Raw genomic sequence first — 17507 nt, 5'->3', positions numbered from 1 at the left:
ACCCAGGAGATGGAGGTTGCAGTGAGCCGAGATTGCGCCATTGCACTCCAGCCTGGGTGACAGTGCGGGACTCCATCTCAAAAAATATATAAAAATAAAAAATAAGGGATTAATATCCAGAATATATAAAGAATCCCTACAACTCAACAATAACAACAATTTTTTAAATGGGCAAAGGACTTGAATAGTTCTCCAAAAATACACAACGCACACGGTGCTCAACATCATCAGTCACTAGAGAAATGCAAATGAAGTAACACTTCACACCCAATAGGATGGCTAATACTGGTAAAATGGAAAATAACATGTGTTGGCAAGGGTGTAGAGAAACTGTAACCATCATGCATTCCTGGTGCGGATGAAAAATGAAGCAGTCCTGTGGAAAACGTATGTGATTCTTCAAAAAGTTAAATATAGAATCACCATATGATCCAACAATTCTACTCCTAGGTATACATCCAAAAGAAGAGAAAGCAGGGACTTAAGTAGACAACTGTAAACCAATGTTCATAGCAGCATTATTTGCAATAGCTAAAAGGTGCAAACAATGAAATTGTCAATCAACAGATGGATAAACAGAATGTAGTATAAACATGCAATGGAGTACTATTCAGCCATACAAACAAGTGAAATTCTGAGACATGAAACAACACGGATGTATGTTGAAAACATCATGATCAATGAAACAAGTTAGACATAAAGGACAAGTATTTTTATTCCACTTACATATCTAGAATAGGCAAATTCAGAGACGGAAAATAGAAAAAAAGTTATCAGGGGCTGGGGGAGAAGATATGCATTAGGGAGTTACTGTTTAATAGGTACAGAGCTTCTGTTTGGGATAATGAAAAAATGCTGAAAACAATGGTGATAGTTGCCTAACATTGTGACTATGTCATTGAATCGTACACTTAAAAACGGCTAAAATACTAAATTGTTGTGTACATCTCATCACAAAAAAAAATTTAATTACAACTTAGAGGGTACTATAAATAGACTCTAAGATAGTCCCTAATGATCCCTGCCTCCCGGTATTCAAACCCTATGTAAACTTGTCCTGTAATAAAACAAAAGTGAGTGTGTGACGTACAGTCTGGGTCATAAAAAAATTGTGGCATGACGTTTTCTTCTGGATCACTCATTTGGGGTAAACTAGTCATGTCATGAACAGCTCCATGGACAGGTCCACATAGTGAGCAATTGAGCACCTTGTCGGCAACCATGTAAGTGAGCTCGGAGGCAAATCCTTCAGTTCAATGCAGCTTTCAGACTTCAACCCTGGGTAACATCCTAAGTGCAACCTTACAAGAGCTCCTGAGCCGCAACAGCAAGCTAAATGTTCCTGGATTTTTTTTTTAATTGCCCTTATTGATAACACCATGATATAATGTATAAGTAGCTTGGGGTTTTTTATTTTTAGAGACAAGGTCTCACTCCGCTCACTCTTACCCAGGCTGGAGTACAGTGGTGTGATTATGTAACAGCTCACCACAGCCTGAAACTGCTACTCCTGGGTTCAAGCGATCCTCCCACCCCAGACTCCCAAAGCACTGGGATTACAGGTAAGAGCCAGTGTGCTTGGCCATCTCCTGGATTTCTGACATTGATAAATTGTGGGGTAATTTGTTATGCAGTAGATAACTTATACCAGGGATTTGGTAAGGATGTTAAAGCTGAAGTCTAAAAATCATTAAATAATCACATAATGCTGGTATTTTCATCACCTGAAATATTGCATAAAATTTCCTGTTCTACAATAAAACACATTTTTCAAGTTAGTGTGTAACGAATAATGTACTTTTTTTTTTTTTTTTTTTTTTGAGACAGTTTTCGCTCGTCACCCAGGCTGAAGTGCAATGGCACGATCCCGGCTCACTGCAACCTCTGCTTCCTGGATTCAAGCGATTCTCCTGCCTCAGCCTCCCAAGTAGCTGGGATTACAAGCATGAGTCACCACACCCGGCTAATTTTGTATTTTTAGTAGAGACAGCGTTTCACCATGCTGGCCAGGCTGATCTCAAACTCCTTCACCTCAGGTGATCTGCCTGCCTTGGCCTCCCAAAGTGCTGGGATTACAGGCATGAGCCACTGCGCCCAGCCTACGAATAATAGACTTTAAAGGAACAAAGAAGAAAATGTCAATCTTAGGGAATGAGAAAGTTAAGCTCACACACGATACTGAAATAACTTGAATCAAATTTAATTGGCATTAAAAGTTTTTATTTAGTATTTGATCCACAATCTATACAAGTTATTTACAAGGCATGAAAATGGAAAACAGCACAAAATACAATTGAGGTATAAGCTCAGAGCACAGTATGTCATGTTTCAATAAATATAATTCAAAATTTGTAAACTAGGTGACCAGATACATGAGTCTTATTTTTAGTAAAACCATATAAAATATTTATTTCACGTGAGGTAGAGGACAGTTTTCTGTGTCATGTAATGCAACCAACCACAGCAACTTTAACCATAAAACTGTACATCATTGGCAAAATTTTAACTTTAATTATGGTCAATGTAGCCAATTATTTGTTTCAACAGTTGCAGAACAGATATTTCATTTACTGCCTTCACAGATTAGAAATTCAAAAGTAATTTAAGACTACTATGTTGGCTTAAAATTATCAGGATAAACAAATACTTCTAACAGGATAGTAAAAACAAGTAAAATTTTATTTCTCATAAACTAATTCCTCAAAAGATGTCCTACATTTAGCAACTGTTTTCTAGGACATGTTTACTAGAACTACTTTAAGTATGCTGTGCTTTCTTTTCAAGTGAGGTATCTATATTGAGGAAAAAAATCTTATAAATTCCTTTTACATTAAACTAATTTAATACACTATTTTGTTTTCTGGGCTGAATTTTTAAATTTTTTTCTTACATTTGATCACTTTCTAATTCAAAAATTGTAGCACTACATAGGACATTTAATTCTATTACTAAATAGGCTCCAAATTACATTATACAGTTTAGAAACCATTTCAATGAATGGATTTACAAAAAAAAAAAAAAAACTGTCCTTTTAAATGAAATGCAATATAAAATACTAATACACTTTTCTTCCAAAAGTGGAAATGCTTAAGTACCCTATACTAGAAAAAAAAAATTAGGCTGTTTATTCAATTCCACAATGTATAATACAGCAGTTTTATGTCCCTTATTGCTGACAGCTTCGATAAAAACTATTAACAAGTAGTTCCAAGCACAGAAACAGATGTACAGTATGAGCACGATTTTTCTTTATATTAATTTTTAATGTCCTATCATGTGGATTAAATGCATAAAGGGCAAATAAAAATGAGGAATCTTCCCTAAGTAATCAAAACATATGCCTTATTGAGAAGAAAATTTTAGAAGCTGATTAAAATCCTTCAGCACTAGCTTTGCAATTAATTCTGGAGAAATACCTTGACACATCTTATAGTATTTGAGTTTCCTTATAACTTTACCTTCCTTCAAACAGAAGCTACCTATGTGCAAATAAACTGGTTGTTCTGTCAGGACTTCTAAAAGATATGGATAACCGGCAAATATATACTTTATTTCACCTACTTTAATAGCTGCTTTACAATTCGCTATGTACAAATGATTTTATATCTTAACTGGTAATATATTAAATATGTTATAAAATTAGTTCAAGAAGCATAAAACACCCTAACTCTCATGAACACAGAAATTCAAGCAAAAGAATATGCTTAAACAAAAACTAAAGCACACAGCAAACGTAAATTGTTGGTCAAATCTTTTCATAGTGTTATAAGTTACATTTGTGAAATTTAGGGTAGTTGAAGAGCTTCCTCAATAACAGCAAGAGGTTTTACATTTATTACCTTTATAGAGTAGGTACACTTTTCTCATAAAGTTTAGCCTACAGAAACTATCGCCACCCAAATTAAACATCACCCAAGCTAATATTCTTTCTTCCTTCTAAAGATGAGCTAGCAAAACTTTTTATAGGTTGTCCCTTTAATGCAGCTTTTTAGAATAAACATTTTTACATTTTTTCTTAAAAGAATTATTTTTTGAAGTCTGAGGAAAAATCCGCTTGCCTAGTGAATTTGGCACACAAAGAGTAACAACAAATCAAACTTTAAGCTAGCAACCAACACACAAAATAAGCATGCAAAGAATAGAATAAGTTTTATATGGATAAGGTATTTTAGCCAACTCCACTTATAAGGTATTACAAAATCTCTATATTGTTTTGAAGCTATGTGTTGCAGTTTAAAGTTACTTTTAACAATAATACGTATATTTACAATTGACTTAAAAAACTATTTTCAAGGAAGTTAGAAACCTATGGCACACCAACGCATCTTCTGGAAAATGAAGACGATACAATGTCATGTGGCAAGTTTTCAATATATGAAGGACTAGAAAAAATATTTCTTTACTCAATTCTGAATTACAAGTTCATAATAATTTAATGGTGTTTAAGCACTGCTTAAAATTTTCCAATAACATATTTCAAGGATTAAGCAATTTATTTTAGAAGTTTTGGGTTAAACAAATTATCATTTTCTAGGTAACATAAAGCAGAAAGGTTCCAAGTGAATTAGAAATATAAATGAAATTATAGGTGTTTGAGTTTGTCTTCCAAAAAGCTGAGCTGTGACACAAATAATTCAAAATTAAAATAAAACTATATCATAAATATCTGATTTTTCCTTCTCCAGATCTAAATAGATTGTATTGGGAGAATATGTCATTTTAAATATTTGTTTCTAAAAATTAGCCGGGAGTGGTGGTGGGTGCCTGTAGTCCCAGCTACTCGGGAGGCTGAGGCAGGAGAATGGCTTGAACCCAGGAGGCAGAGCTTGCAGTGAGCCGAGATTGCACCACTGAACTCCAGCCTGGGAGACAGCGAGACTCTGTCTCAAAAAAAAAAAAAAAAAAAAAAAAAAAAAAATTTGTTTCTACATGTCATTTTAATATTTGTTCCTCCTTGAGAAGATTCCAAGACTCAACGAATTAAATTAGTCTTAATATAGCAAAATTTAAATGGAAAATAGAAAACACACATTTAGGTTATACTCAATTTAGTAAATAAATTACATTTGGGGAAGTACAAAATTCTTTTTGGATATGTACTATTAAGCAAAATATGAAAATAACTGGTTAAATGACAACCTAGTGATTCTTTCTACACCATTAGATTATCTACCTTCTATGCTGGAAATAGAATATAACCTTAACCCTAGCTAATTTATTTTAAAATAAATATAGCTCTCTGAAGTAATTTCATACATAGTATCTTATAAGAGAACATGAAAAACATTTATTATCCCATAAAATCCATGGGGTAATAATGTCAATTAATGATAGTTTCAGGAAACTCCCTTTAAAAACAGATCTAAGAATTTTACCTAATATATTTTGAGCCAAGAATTAACAAATATGAAATTTGCCATTAGAGAATGACAGACTTTTCTGTGCAAAAAAAAAGTGCAGAAGATGTTGTCCCTCCTGAAACTATGGAATTCCTTTATCTTCTAAAACTTATCTAAAAATCTTTTAGTAGCAGGTAACTAAACTGTCCTATATGCACCTATCATGTACTATCAGTTGACTGTAAATTCCTGATTTTGATATTAAGTAGTAAATGAAAATGGTCCATTCGTGCAAATTTTGGTAAGACAACATTTAAACATACAGAAGTCCAAAATAACCTTCAAGGTGTTTAACATTTTACAACTTAAAGGAAAACAAGTCCATTATATAAATTTTAGTAAGACTCATAACTACATGTAAAAACTGTACAGGAGGATTATGGATTGTATAGAAACTGATACACAACAGTGGTATCAGTTTTTCTCAAGAACGTTAATATTTTCACACCACTATTAACAACACAAACAAAAGTTCAGAAATTATCACATTTTATTTTTGAAAAGTTGCTGCTTAAAAAAAAATCTAACTATAACCACATTTAAACTGAAAAACAAATTACAACTGCTGCTTCTGTTTAGCAGCAGCACATAACAACACATTCTTCTTCCCCACTGTGCTCATGGGGTATGCTATAACCTCAGTAAAATTCCTCCTAGGGTACACATTAAAAAGAAGAGAACTGGTGGAAATTCATTCCACAATCTGAACAAAGTAAAAGTAAATTTGGTGTATGTTAATGAGTACACCATATCAACTTAGAAAAATTGTGTTAATGAGAAAAGGGGAGATTCAACTCCTTGAGTAGCTCTATATACTTAAAATATAAAGCCACCATTGTATCTAAAATTGAGTCTGAAATATGGATAACAAAATTGACCACAGCTATTTTCCAACACATATTGCAGCTTTTAAAAAGTACACAATTGTTAAGTTTGCATTAGAAATATAAGCAGATTACCTACTAGTTGAAACCATATAGTATTGTTACTAAGCTGATTTTTTTAAAAAAGTACAAAGAAACATACATTTTCATTCATTTGGAAAATGTAAAAATTTAAGTACTAATATATAATCTCTTCACTTTCTCTGATCTACAAATGGATAGAATGCCTAGTTATCGTCATGCAGATAAATTCTTCAGAATTCAATTACCAAAGCAAGCAACAAACAAAAAAAACCTTGTCAGTAATACACAGATGAATCTCTTTAACAGTTTCTATTCTTTAGCAGTCTTTGATGATTTCAGAATTTGCAGCTTTAGCTCTTTTATCATCATCTCTAACTTCTGTCTTGCTTCCCGTTCCTGTCTGAGTTCATCTTGGAGTTCTTGCCTATCGGCCTCAGCATGGTCCAATCTCTGCCTCAGTTCTGCCAACTATGTGATTTAAAAGGCGCTATCAATTTTAATTGTTTTGTTTTTCCATTTAATCCTCATATCATAGAAAATATCTATTTTCAAATTACTTTTTACAAAACGAACTATTTCATGTATACTAAATCCATTAAGCATCTAATACTATTAATCTGACATCTGACAGGACACTAAATTTAAGAAAAAGCAAAGGAACAAGAGGAAGGAACACATCCAGCATGTTCATGTTCATTATGCCCTATACTTTACTATACCGCTCATCACAGCCTGCTCATGTTAGTTATTTGTTCATGTTCCTTAAATTGTGAGATTCTATTAACAAAAGAGAATTGCTTATTTTTGCTCCAGTGCTTTTGAACATAACAGGCAACAGTTCCTGTTTGTTAATTTGTAGATTTGAAAGCTCATATACTACATTAAAATAATATAACATATAATATTCAGAGGGCTAGAGATTAGCAATTTAGGTAACTAAACTGCAGTAACCCGATAAAAATTTAAACTAATAAAAGCAACAAACATCAAAATAATCATCTTGGACAATACAGCATAAAGCTATGTTTAACAGAATTATCTATTTTGAAATCTAGCTTAGTAAACTGAGCTTGACAAAAAGTAATTCCTTTATTAGAGAAGTAACGGTGGCCGGGTGCAGTGGCTCATGCTTGTAATCCCAGCATTTTGGGAGGCTGAGGTGGGCAGATCATGAGGTCAGGAGTTCAAGACCAGACTGACCAACATGGTGAAACCCCGTCTCTACTAAAAAATACAAAATTTAGCTGGGCATAGTGTCGCACGCCTGTAATCCCAGCTACAATCAGGAGGCTGAGGCAGGAAAATTGCTTGAACCCGGGAGGCAGAGGTTGTGGGGAGCTGAGATTGTGCCACTGCACTCCAGCCTGGGCGACAGAGCAGTCTCTGTCTCAAAAAAAAAAAAGAGAGAAGTAACAGTTTCCATTTCCATGCTGAAAGGGCACCATTATACAAACAGTAATTCTTACCTGTCCTGCATATTCAGCCTCTTTGTCTTTTTCTAAATTTGAGTCACAGGTACATTTTTGCTTCATTATCTGCTCCAATTTTTTCTCTAAGTCTTTCTGTTCAACATAAAATTCTTCCATTCTTTGAGCATGTTCATTCTGCAAAGATTCAAGCTCTTTCTGTAAATTCTGCTGTTCTTCAGTGAGTTCCTTCATAGATTTTGAACTACTCAACATTTTTACTTCCTGTAATGTAAAGAATCACAATACAAGTTTTACTTTATTTTCACCATGTTAAAATTTTCAGTTCTGGAAAACATAGCACAGAAAATACCTAAAATTCAGCTATCATTATCAGTTCTATATAGAGGTAATTATTTTAAAAAACTATTTTCTCAAAAAATTTTAAAATATATTAAAATTGCTTTTCAGTGTAAAACAATAATCTTAAGTACATTTGTAGCATCTCGTTTTGACTTTTCTTACTAAGAATATACAGGGGGGCTGGGCGCAGTGGCTCACACCTGTAATCCCAGCACTTTGGGAGGCCAAGGCTGGTGGATCACAAGGTCAAAAGTTCGAGCCTGGCCAGCATGGAGAAACCCCATCTCTACTAAGAATACAAAATTTAGCCAGGCATGGTGGCACGTGCCTGTAATGCTAGCTACTCGGAAGGCTAAGGCAGAAGAATTGCTTGAACCTGTGAGGTGGAGGTTTCAGTGAGCTGAGACTGCGCCACTGCACTCCAGCCTGGGCGACAGAGCAATATACAAAAGTATCTTTTCATAATGGACTATCATTTAGATAACAATTTTACCATCTGAAGTTGTTGCTTCTTTTGCAAAATCAAGTTTAGTTTTTCCTGTTGTTTTAAATAAGTTCTCATTACTTCTTCCATGATTTTTCCCTTATCATCCTCACAAATGACATCTTTCACAAGAAGCGGAGATGAAGCGGCAGCAACAAGGCCAATTCCCACTTTGTTTATGTCTCTGACTAAGTTGCAAGTGGCAGACTCAGATTTCCTTTTACTTGTAGAATTATTTGAGATTGATGCATCTTGGAGAGAAAAAAATCAAGTAACAAAGTATGAATATCACTCCATTAAAAAAATCACTAGAACAATCCATAAATGTAATTTTTAAAACATTTCATTTATAAATTAGACCAAAACAAATAAAATAGGAATAAATTTAACAAAAGCAGTGCAAGTACAATGAAAACTACAAAACATCACTAAAAGAAATTTAAGACCTAAATACATGGAAAGACATCCCAAATTCATGGATTGGAAGACTTAATATTGTTAAGACAGTAATAGTCTCCAAATTGATCTACTTATCAGTGCAATCCCTATCAAAATCCCCACTGGATTTTTTGCAGAAATTGAAAAGCAGTTTCTAAAATCCATATGGAAATGCAACAAACCCAAAATAGGCAAAATAATCTTGAAAAAGAATAACGAAGTTGAAAGACTCACAATTCCCAATTTCAAAGCTTACTACAAAGCTACAGAAATCAAGACTGTGTGACATGATTTAAAGATAGACATACAGATCAGTAGAACAGAATTCAGAGTCCAGAAATTTAAAAAACTCATACTTTATAAGGCAATTGTTGTTGACAAAGGTGCCAAAGCAATTCAGTCAGGAAAGAATAATCTTTTCTGGCCAGGCGCGGTGGCTCACGCCTGTAATCCCAGCACTTTGGGAGGCCGAGAAGGGCGGATCACGACGTCAGGAGATTGAGACCATCCTGGCTAACATGGTGAAACCCTGTCTCTACTAAAAAATACAAAAAATTTGCCAGGCTTGGTGGCGGGCGCCTGTAGTCCCAGCTACTCGGGAGGCTGAGGCAGAAGAATGGCGTGAACCTGGGAGGCGGAGCTTGCAGTGAGCCGAGATAGCGCCACTGCACTCCAGCCTGGGCAACAGAGCAAGACTCCGTCTCAAAAAAAAAAAAAAAGGAAAGAATAATCTTTTCAACATACGGACAACTATATCCACATGCAAAAGAATAAGGTTGGACCTTATGCTGTATACAAAAATTAACTCTAAACTGATCAAAGACCTAAATGTAAGAGCTACAACCCTTAAACATAAATTTCTTGGCTGGATGTGGTGGCTCACGCCTATAATCCCAGCACTTTGGGAGGCCGAGGCAGGTGGATTACCTGAGGTCAGGAGTTCACCACCAGCCTGACCAACATGGTAAAACTCTGTCTCTACTAAAAATACAAAAAAAATTAGCCAGGCATGGTGGCGCGCACCTGTAATCCCAGCTACTCAGGAGGCTGAGACAGAAAAATTGGTTGAACCCGGGAGGTGGAGGTTGCAGTGAGCTGAGATGGCACCACTGTACTCCAGCCTGGGCAACAGAGTGAGACTCTGTCTCAAAAATAAATAAATAAATAAATAAATACATAAATAAATATTTCTTGGAATTGGGATTAGGCAATAGTTTCTTAGATATGATACCTAAAACAAGAAAAAAATAGATAAATTGGATGTAATAAACATTTAAAACTTTTGTGCTTCAAAGAACACTAACACGGCCAAGCGCGGTGGCTCACACCAGTAATCCCAACACTTTGGGAGGCTGAGGCAGGTGGATTGCTTAAGCTCACGAGTTTGAGACCAGCCTCAACATGGCAAAACCCCAACTCCACCAAAAATACAAAAATTAGCCGAGCATGGTGGTACATCCCTGTAGTCCCAGCTACTTGGGAGGCTGAGGTGAAAGGATGGATTAAGCCCAGGAGGTAGAGGTTGCAGTGAGCCAAGCTGGGGTGATACAGCCAGACTTTGTCTCAGGAAAAAAAAAAGAACACTAACAAGAAAGTAAAAAGAAAACAGTATGGTAAATCAAATATCTGATAAGGATCCAGTATCCAGAATATATAAAGAACTCTTACAACTCAATAGTAAAACAACCTAGCATTAAAATAGCCAAAAGACCTGAATAGACATTTCTCCAAAGATATGCAATGTCCAAGAAAAACATGAAAAGATACTCAATATCATCATTCACTGAGAAATTGCAAATTAAAACCATGAAATACCACTTCACAACCACTAGGATGGCTATATTCAAAAGACAAACAATAACAAGTGTTGACAAAGATATGCAAAATTTGAAACTCCCAAGCTACCACAGGAATGTAAAATGGTGCAACTGCTTTTGAAAAGTTTGGCAGTTCCTCAAAACATTAAACATAATTACCACATGACCTAGCAATTTCACTCCTAAATACATACCAAAAAAAAACTGAAAATATAGTTCTACACTTAAACTTCTACACAAGTATTTATAGCAGCATTATTCTTTTTTTTTTTTTTTTTTTTTTTTGAGACGGAGTCTCGCTCTGTCGCCCAGGCTGGAGTGCAGTGGCGGGATCTCGGCTCACTGCAAGCTCCGCCTCCCGGGTTCACGCCATTCTCCTGCCTCAGCCTCCCAAGTAGCTGGGACTACAGGCGCCCGCCACTACGCCCGGCTAATTTTTTTGTATTTTTTTTTTTTTTTAGTAGAGACGGGGTTTCACCGTTTTAGCCGGGATGGTCTCGATCTCCTGACCTCGTGATCCGCCCGCCTCGGCCTCCCAAAGTGCTGGGATTACAGGCGTGAGCCACCGCGCCCGGCCTATAGCAGCATTATTCTTAATTGCCAAAAAGTAGACCCAATGCAAATGTCCGACTGACGAAGGAATAAAAAAAATGTGGTATATTCACATAATGGAATCTTATCAGGCCATAAAAAGAAGTACTGGTACATGCAACAACATGGACTGTGAAAACATTATCTTTCATGAAAGAAGCATAAGCTTCTTGACCAGACATGAAAAGCCACATATTGTACAATTCCTTTTATATGAAATGTCCAGAATAAGCAAATCCATAAAGATAGAAAATAGATTAGTGGTTGCCAGAGGCTTCGAGAAAGGGAGAATCAGGGAGTGACTCCTAATGGATTATAGGGTTAATTTTTGGAGTGATGAAAACATTATGGGCCGAGGCGGGTGGATCACCTAAGGTCAGGAGTTCAAGATCAGCCTGACTAACATGGCGAAAACCCTGTCTCTTACTAATAATACAAAAAAATTAGCCAGGCGTGGTGACACACGCCTGTAATCCCAGCTACTCAGGAGGCTGAGGCAGGAGAATCGCTTGAACCCGGGAGGCAGAGCTTGCAGTGAGCCGAAATCACCCCACTGCACTCTAGCCTGGGCGACAAGAGTGAAACTCCATCTTAAAAAAAAAGAAAGAAAAGAAAACATTATGGAACTAAATTAGCTGTGATGGTTGCACAACTTTGTGAATGTATTAAAAACCACTGAATTGTAGGCTTTAAAAGGGTAAATTTTATGGTATATAAATTATCTCAATAATTTTTTAGAAGTCATTAGAATTAATTTAAGAAATAAAATACAATGTAAATATGGCATAATAGTCATTACTAATTTTTGTTTACCATATTTAAATCTGAAGAAAACTGAGTTTTAAAAATCTCAAAATTGGCCAGGCATGGTGGCTCACATCTGTAATCCCAATGCTTTAGGAGGCCAAGGCAGGAGGATCACTTGAGGCTAAGAGCTTAATGCCAGCCTGGGCAATACAGTGAGACCCTGTCTCTACAAAAAAAATGAAAAAATGAGGCAGGCGCAGTGGCACATGCCTGTAGTCCTAGCTACTAGGGAGGCTGAGGTGCAAGGACTATGAGCCCAGCAATTTGAAGCTGCGGTGAGCTATGAATGCATCACTGTACTCCACCAGCCTAGAGCAACAGAGTGAGACTCTGTCTCTAAAAAAGAAAAACGAAACAAAAAACCCTCAAAATAAATGTATAGAAAACCCCTGGCCGGGCGCGATGGCTCACGCCTGTAATCCCAGCACTTTGGGAGGCCGAGGCAGGCGGATCACCTGAGGTCAGGAGTTCGAGACCAGACTGACCAACATGGAAAAACCCCGTGTCTACTAAAAATACAAAATTAGCCGGGCGTGGTGGTGCATGCCTATAATCCCAGCTGCTCAGGAGGCTGAGGCAGGAGAATCACTTGAACCTGGGAGGCGGAGATTGCAGTGAGCCGAGATCACACCGTTGCACTCTAGCCTGGGCAACAAATACGAAACTCTGTCTCCAAACAAACAAACAAACAAACAAAAAAACCAGAAAACCCCCACCCAAGAATCAGCCAGGCGTGGTGGCTCACGCCTGGAATCCCAGCACTTTGGTTGGGAGGCCGAGGCAGGCGGATCACCTGAGGTCAGGAGTTCAAGACCAGCCTGACCAACATGGAGAAAACCCGTCTCTACTAAAAATACAAAATTAGCGGGGTGTGGTGGTGCATGCCTGTAATCTCAGCTACTCAGGAGGCTGAGGCAGGAGAATCTGGGAGGTGGAGGTTGCGGTGAGCTGAGATCTCACCATTTTACTCCAGCCTGGGCAACAAGAGTGAAACTCCTCAAAAAAAAAAAAGAAAAAAAAGAAAGAAAGAAAGAAAAGAAAACCCCCAAGAATCTCAATTCTCTATAAAAACTTAAATAAATAGAGGACCCTCCAACTGTTCCAATGCAGCTAAAGTAACTGTCACACTGCCTAATCACTAAGCAAAGCTGTGCTGCTATATGGATGGTAACACAGGCAATATCTGCAGACATGTCTCATTTAATCCACAGTATTTTAAAAGGCACGGTAAGTAACCAGCTATTTTTCTTTTAAATGACCAGTCAATATTCCACATTTATGCTATATGCCTGGCCCCCAGAGCTTTCAATCCTTGCTTTATTCCATAACTAAGCTTCCTTGAGTTCTATACCTAACTACTCTTACTTACATAATACTTCTTATTATTAAATGGTGTCTCAGTTCATGGCAAATCAGAAAGAAAAATAAAGGTTGGGTGCGGTGGCTCACAACTGTAATCCCAACACTTTGAGAGGCCAAGGCAGGAGGATCACTTGAGCCCAGGAGTTCGAGACCAGCTTGAGCAACATACCAAGACCATCTCTACAAAAAAAAAAAAAAAAATTTTTTTTTTTAATTAGCCAGGCACAGTGGTGTGCGCCTCTGGTCCCAGCTACTAGGGAGGGTGAGGTGGGAGGATCACTTGAGCCCAAAGGTTGAGGCTGCAGTGACCGCAATCTCACCACTGCACTTCAGCCTAGGCGATAAAGACTCTGTCACAAAAAAAGAAAAAAAAAGGAGGAAAGAAAAACAAGGATCTCCTGAAGACTGACAGCAAATAAAAGGTAGGAAAGGAAAAAAATTCGGACAAAAATAACTTGCAGTCTGAGGCCAGGTAGCCTGTATCTATCTCAGTCTCCTGAGCTATCACCACGCTAGAAAAGTATAGCAACTGAGATTAAAATAAATCACCCAGAGTTTTGAAGGGTAGCATTTTTAAAGGTAAAAGCTCCAATTATCTGAAAATTTAGCTCAAACAAAAAGCCTGTTTGAAAATGCTCAATAAATGTGTTCATTAGATATTTAATTTTAGAAAGATAATCTCTGAATACTTACCTAAACGGCTACATAATTCTCTACTTGTTTTTAAATCCATTTTCTCCTGTTCCTCAAGTGAGACATCTGGATAAGACACTGTTTTTTGAAGTTTACCACTACTGTGAGCCTTCTCTGACTGTCTTGATATGGACTTACTTGCCTCTGTCTTTGTGAGCTCTTTAGACTGGGATACAGCAGAAGTAAGTGACACATTTGGGGCAACCACTTTATCACACATGTATAAGTAGTAGCTGAAAACAAGTAAAAGCAAAACAAGACATATATTACATATTACAATTAAGTAAAAATCAAATATGTAACATGCATTTCTGTGGTTAAACTTTTTTTTTTCTAACCAAAACAGACAATATTACAACTCAGAAAATAAAGGTCACAGTAAAGAATTCTTAGGAAAAAAATCAACACTTTAGGCATTACAAACAAAATTATAAGGGATTTTTTGTTAGTTTGCAAGTAACCCAGGCTGGAGCGTAGTGGTATGATCATGGCTCACTGTAACCTCTAACTCCTGGGTTCAAGCAATCTTCCTGCCTCAGCATCCCAGGTAGCTGGGACCACACATACCCATTTTTTTTTAGAGATAGGGTCTTGCTATGCTGCCAAGTTGGTCTTGAACTCCTGGGCTCAAGTGATACCCTCCCACCTCCAACTCCCAAAGCACTAGGATTACAGGCATAAGCAACCATAACCAGCTTGCAAGTAATTTCGTGTTTTTTTTTTTTTTTGGCAAGTAATTTCTAAGCACTAAAAAGATACACAGAAGGAAAATCACAGGCTCTTCTCCTTCCCTCAAAACCACCTGAGAATTAAAAGCATTAAGGACTTTATACAGCTGTGTAACAACTCTGAGCAGGTAAGTTTTACTCCAGAAAAAGAATAATCTATAACTACTTTGGAGGACTTTATCTTGCCCACCACCCTTCCAAAGCAGGGAATCTTTGCTTTGGTGAGGCTGCTTCAGTGGCAGACTGCAAGGCTATGTCCTGACTCACAGGAGGCTCAGTGAGGAGCTCCCAGGGCTCTTCTTATATACCTCAGAGAGAGAGCTCTGAATGTCGCCCAGCTACTGGGCAGTTCTTGTATCAAACCCCACTGAGCAATCTTCTTGAAATACTTCACTACTTCCTACTCATTTGATAAAATGGCAACAATAAATTATGCAAAACTAAGATAAAAGAGATTACCAATTTTGACCAAAACTCACATAAAATTGCCCAGTAGACTCATGTGAGAAGCTCATGGGACAAACAAATTTCAGCTAGATATTTAAGTACCATATTTGTAACTATATTCTGAGTAACACTTAGCAAAAAGATGTAACCATTTAAGACTTGACACTCTATCCCCTGAACTCCAGACAATCTCCTCTTACATTTCATTTTCTTTGTACTAAGACATCTATATTGTTCCCCTTTGTTAATAACATCCATTTTTGAGCCAAAATCTCAGTTTTCTGACAGGACAAGAAAATTGACAGGTTTAATAGGGCTCAAAAGACTTACTGCAAATACAACAGGTAAAGTAGTGATTGTACAAATGTAAATAAGACTCAGTCCCCTTATCACCATACTTGGAGGGAATACAGATTTACACTAGTAGAAAAAAATCTAGGGCTCAACAACAAAAAACTTACAATCTAGGGTGAACATTTATTGAAACAGTAAAACTCTGATTTTGAGAAGTACGGTTATTAAGAAAGCTCTTAGTTTCAAAAGAATTTCTTTTTAAAATATCAAAGTTGCAGGCCGGGTGCAGTGACTCATACCTGTAATCCCAGCACTTTGGGAGGCTGATGGCAGGTGGGTCACTTGAGGTCAGGAGTTCGAGACCAGCCTGGCCAACATGGTGAAACCTCGTCTCTTCTAAAAATACAAAAATTAGCTGGGCGTAGCAGCGGATGCCTGTAATCCCAGCTACTCAGGAGGCTGAGGCAGGAGAAATGCTTGAACCCGGGAGGCGGAGGTTGCAGTGAGCCGAGATCATACCATTGCACTCCAGCCTGGGCAACAGAGCGAGACTCCATCTCAAAAAAAAAAAAAAAAAATTGAAGTTGCGGCTCGGGGCGGTGGCTCACACCTGTAATCCTAGCAGCACTTTGGGAGGCCAAGGCTGGCAGATCACCTGAGGTTCAAAACCAGCCTGGCCAACATGGTGAAACCCCATCTCTACTAAAAATACAAAAAAATTAGCCAGGAGTGACAGCTGGCGCTCAGGCTCAGCTACAGGATGCCATGACAAGAGAACTGCTTGAACCTGGGAGGCAGAGGTTGCAGTGAGCCAAGATCCTGCCACTGCACTCCAGTCTGGGTAACACAGTGAGACTTTGTCTCAAAAAAAAAAAAAAAAAAATCAAAGTTGCACACCAAATTCTTGAAGAGTTTGTTTACCTCTTGAAGAAAAGTAAGAAATTAAAGGAGAACTTCCATTTTTTACTTGAGGGCAAAAAGAAAATGACCTATTTCTAGAAAACACATAGAAACACATAGTAAAGGTTATTTCAAATATTCAGTGCAATTTACAATTCATTTCATTTCAGATTCTTTCTTTGAAATTTTTTCTAATAAGAGTAACAATACAATTCACCTACCATTTCCCTATAATGATAAATAGAAACAAAAAATACATTAAATACCAATGTACTTATTTAAAAATAATTTTGAATTTTCTTTTTTTCTTTTTTTTTGAGACAGTTTTGCTCTGTCGCCTAGGCTGGAGTGCAATGACGCGATCTCGGCTCACTGCAAGCTCTGCCTCCCAGGTTCAAGCAATTCTCCTGCCTCAGCCTCCCGAGTAGCTGGGACTACAGGTGCCCGCCACCAGGCCCGGCTAATTTTTTTGCATTTTTAGTAGAGACAGGGTTTCACTGTGTTAGCCAGGATGGTCTCGATCTCCTGACCTCATGATCCACCCACCTCGGCCTCCCAAAGTGCTGGGATTACAGGCATGAGCCACCGCGCCCAGCCTAATTTTGAATTTTCAAAGATAATCTATGATTAACAAGAAAGCCTGAAAATAAAGAAATAAATTCGTGGTCAGGCACAGTGGCTCACACCTGTAATCCCAGCACTTTGGGAGGCTGAGGCAGGCAGATCACTTGAGGTCAGGAGTTCGAGACCAGCCTGGCCAACACTGTGAAACCCCATCTATACTAAAACTAAAAAAATTAGGAGGGCGTGGTGGTGTGAGCCTGTAGTCCCCGCTACTCGGGAGGCTGAGGCAGGAGAATCGCTTGAACC

The 17507-nt window shown here is 37.6% G+C and overlaps 1 protein-coding gene across 6 annotated transcripts in view, besides 1 other annotated feature; it reads right to left on the bottom strand.

Annotated features, from left to right (window-relative positions):
- The window catches only part of SKIL (SKI like proto-oncogene), a 39135-nt gene continuing 23812 nt past the window's right edge, over positions 2185 to 17507 (bottom strand). For 3 of the 6 annotated variants that reach the window (XM_005247721.2, XM_006713735.2, NM_001248008.1), the window contains 4 exons: positions 14269 to 14501; positions 8570 to 8811; positions 7774 to 7998; positions 2185 to 6775 (listed from right to left, as the gene is read on the bottom strand). In XM_005247721.2, the coding sequence (XP_005247778.1) occupies positions 6617 to 6775; positions 7774 to 7998; positions 8570 to 8811; positions 14269 to 14501 (859 nt within the window). In that variant the 3' untranslated portion in view covers positions 2185 to 6616. The remainder of the gene's footprint in view (positions 6776 to 7773; positions 7999 to 8569; positions 8812 to 14268; positions 14502 to 17507) is intronic. The other 3 variants (NM_005414.5, NM_001145098.3, NM_001145097.2) reach the window with 2 other exon arrangements.
- Positions 14317 to 14517: a silencer, noted in NCBI's record as "peak4917 fragment used in MPRA reporter construct". NCBI's record gives its function as "represses an SCP1 promoter by STARR-seq MPRAs in K562 erythroleukemia cells {active_cell/tissue: K562}" and the evidence as "EXISTENCE:reporter gene assay evidence [ECO:0000049][PMID:32103011]".

This window comes from Homo sapiens, chromosome 3 (genome assembly GCF_000001405.40).
Source record: "Homo sapiens chromosome 3, GRCh38.p14 Primary Assembly".
NCBI lineage: Eukaryota > Metazoa > Chordata > Mammalia > Primates > Hominidae > Homo > Homo sapiens.
The sequence above is the reverse complement of the archived record's forward strand: the minus strand, read 5'-3'. Positions and strand labels throughout refer to the sequence as shown.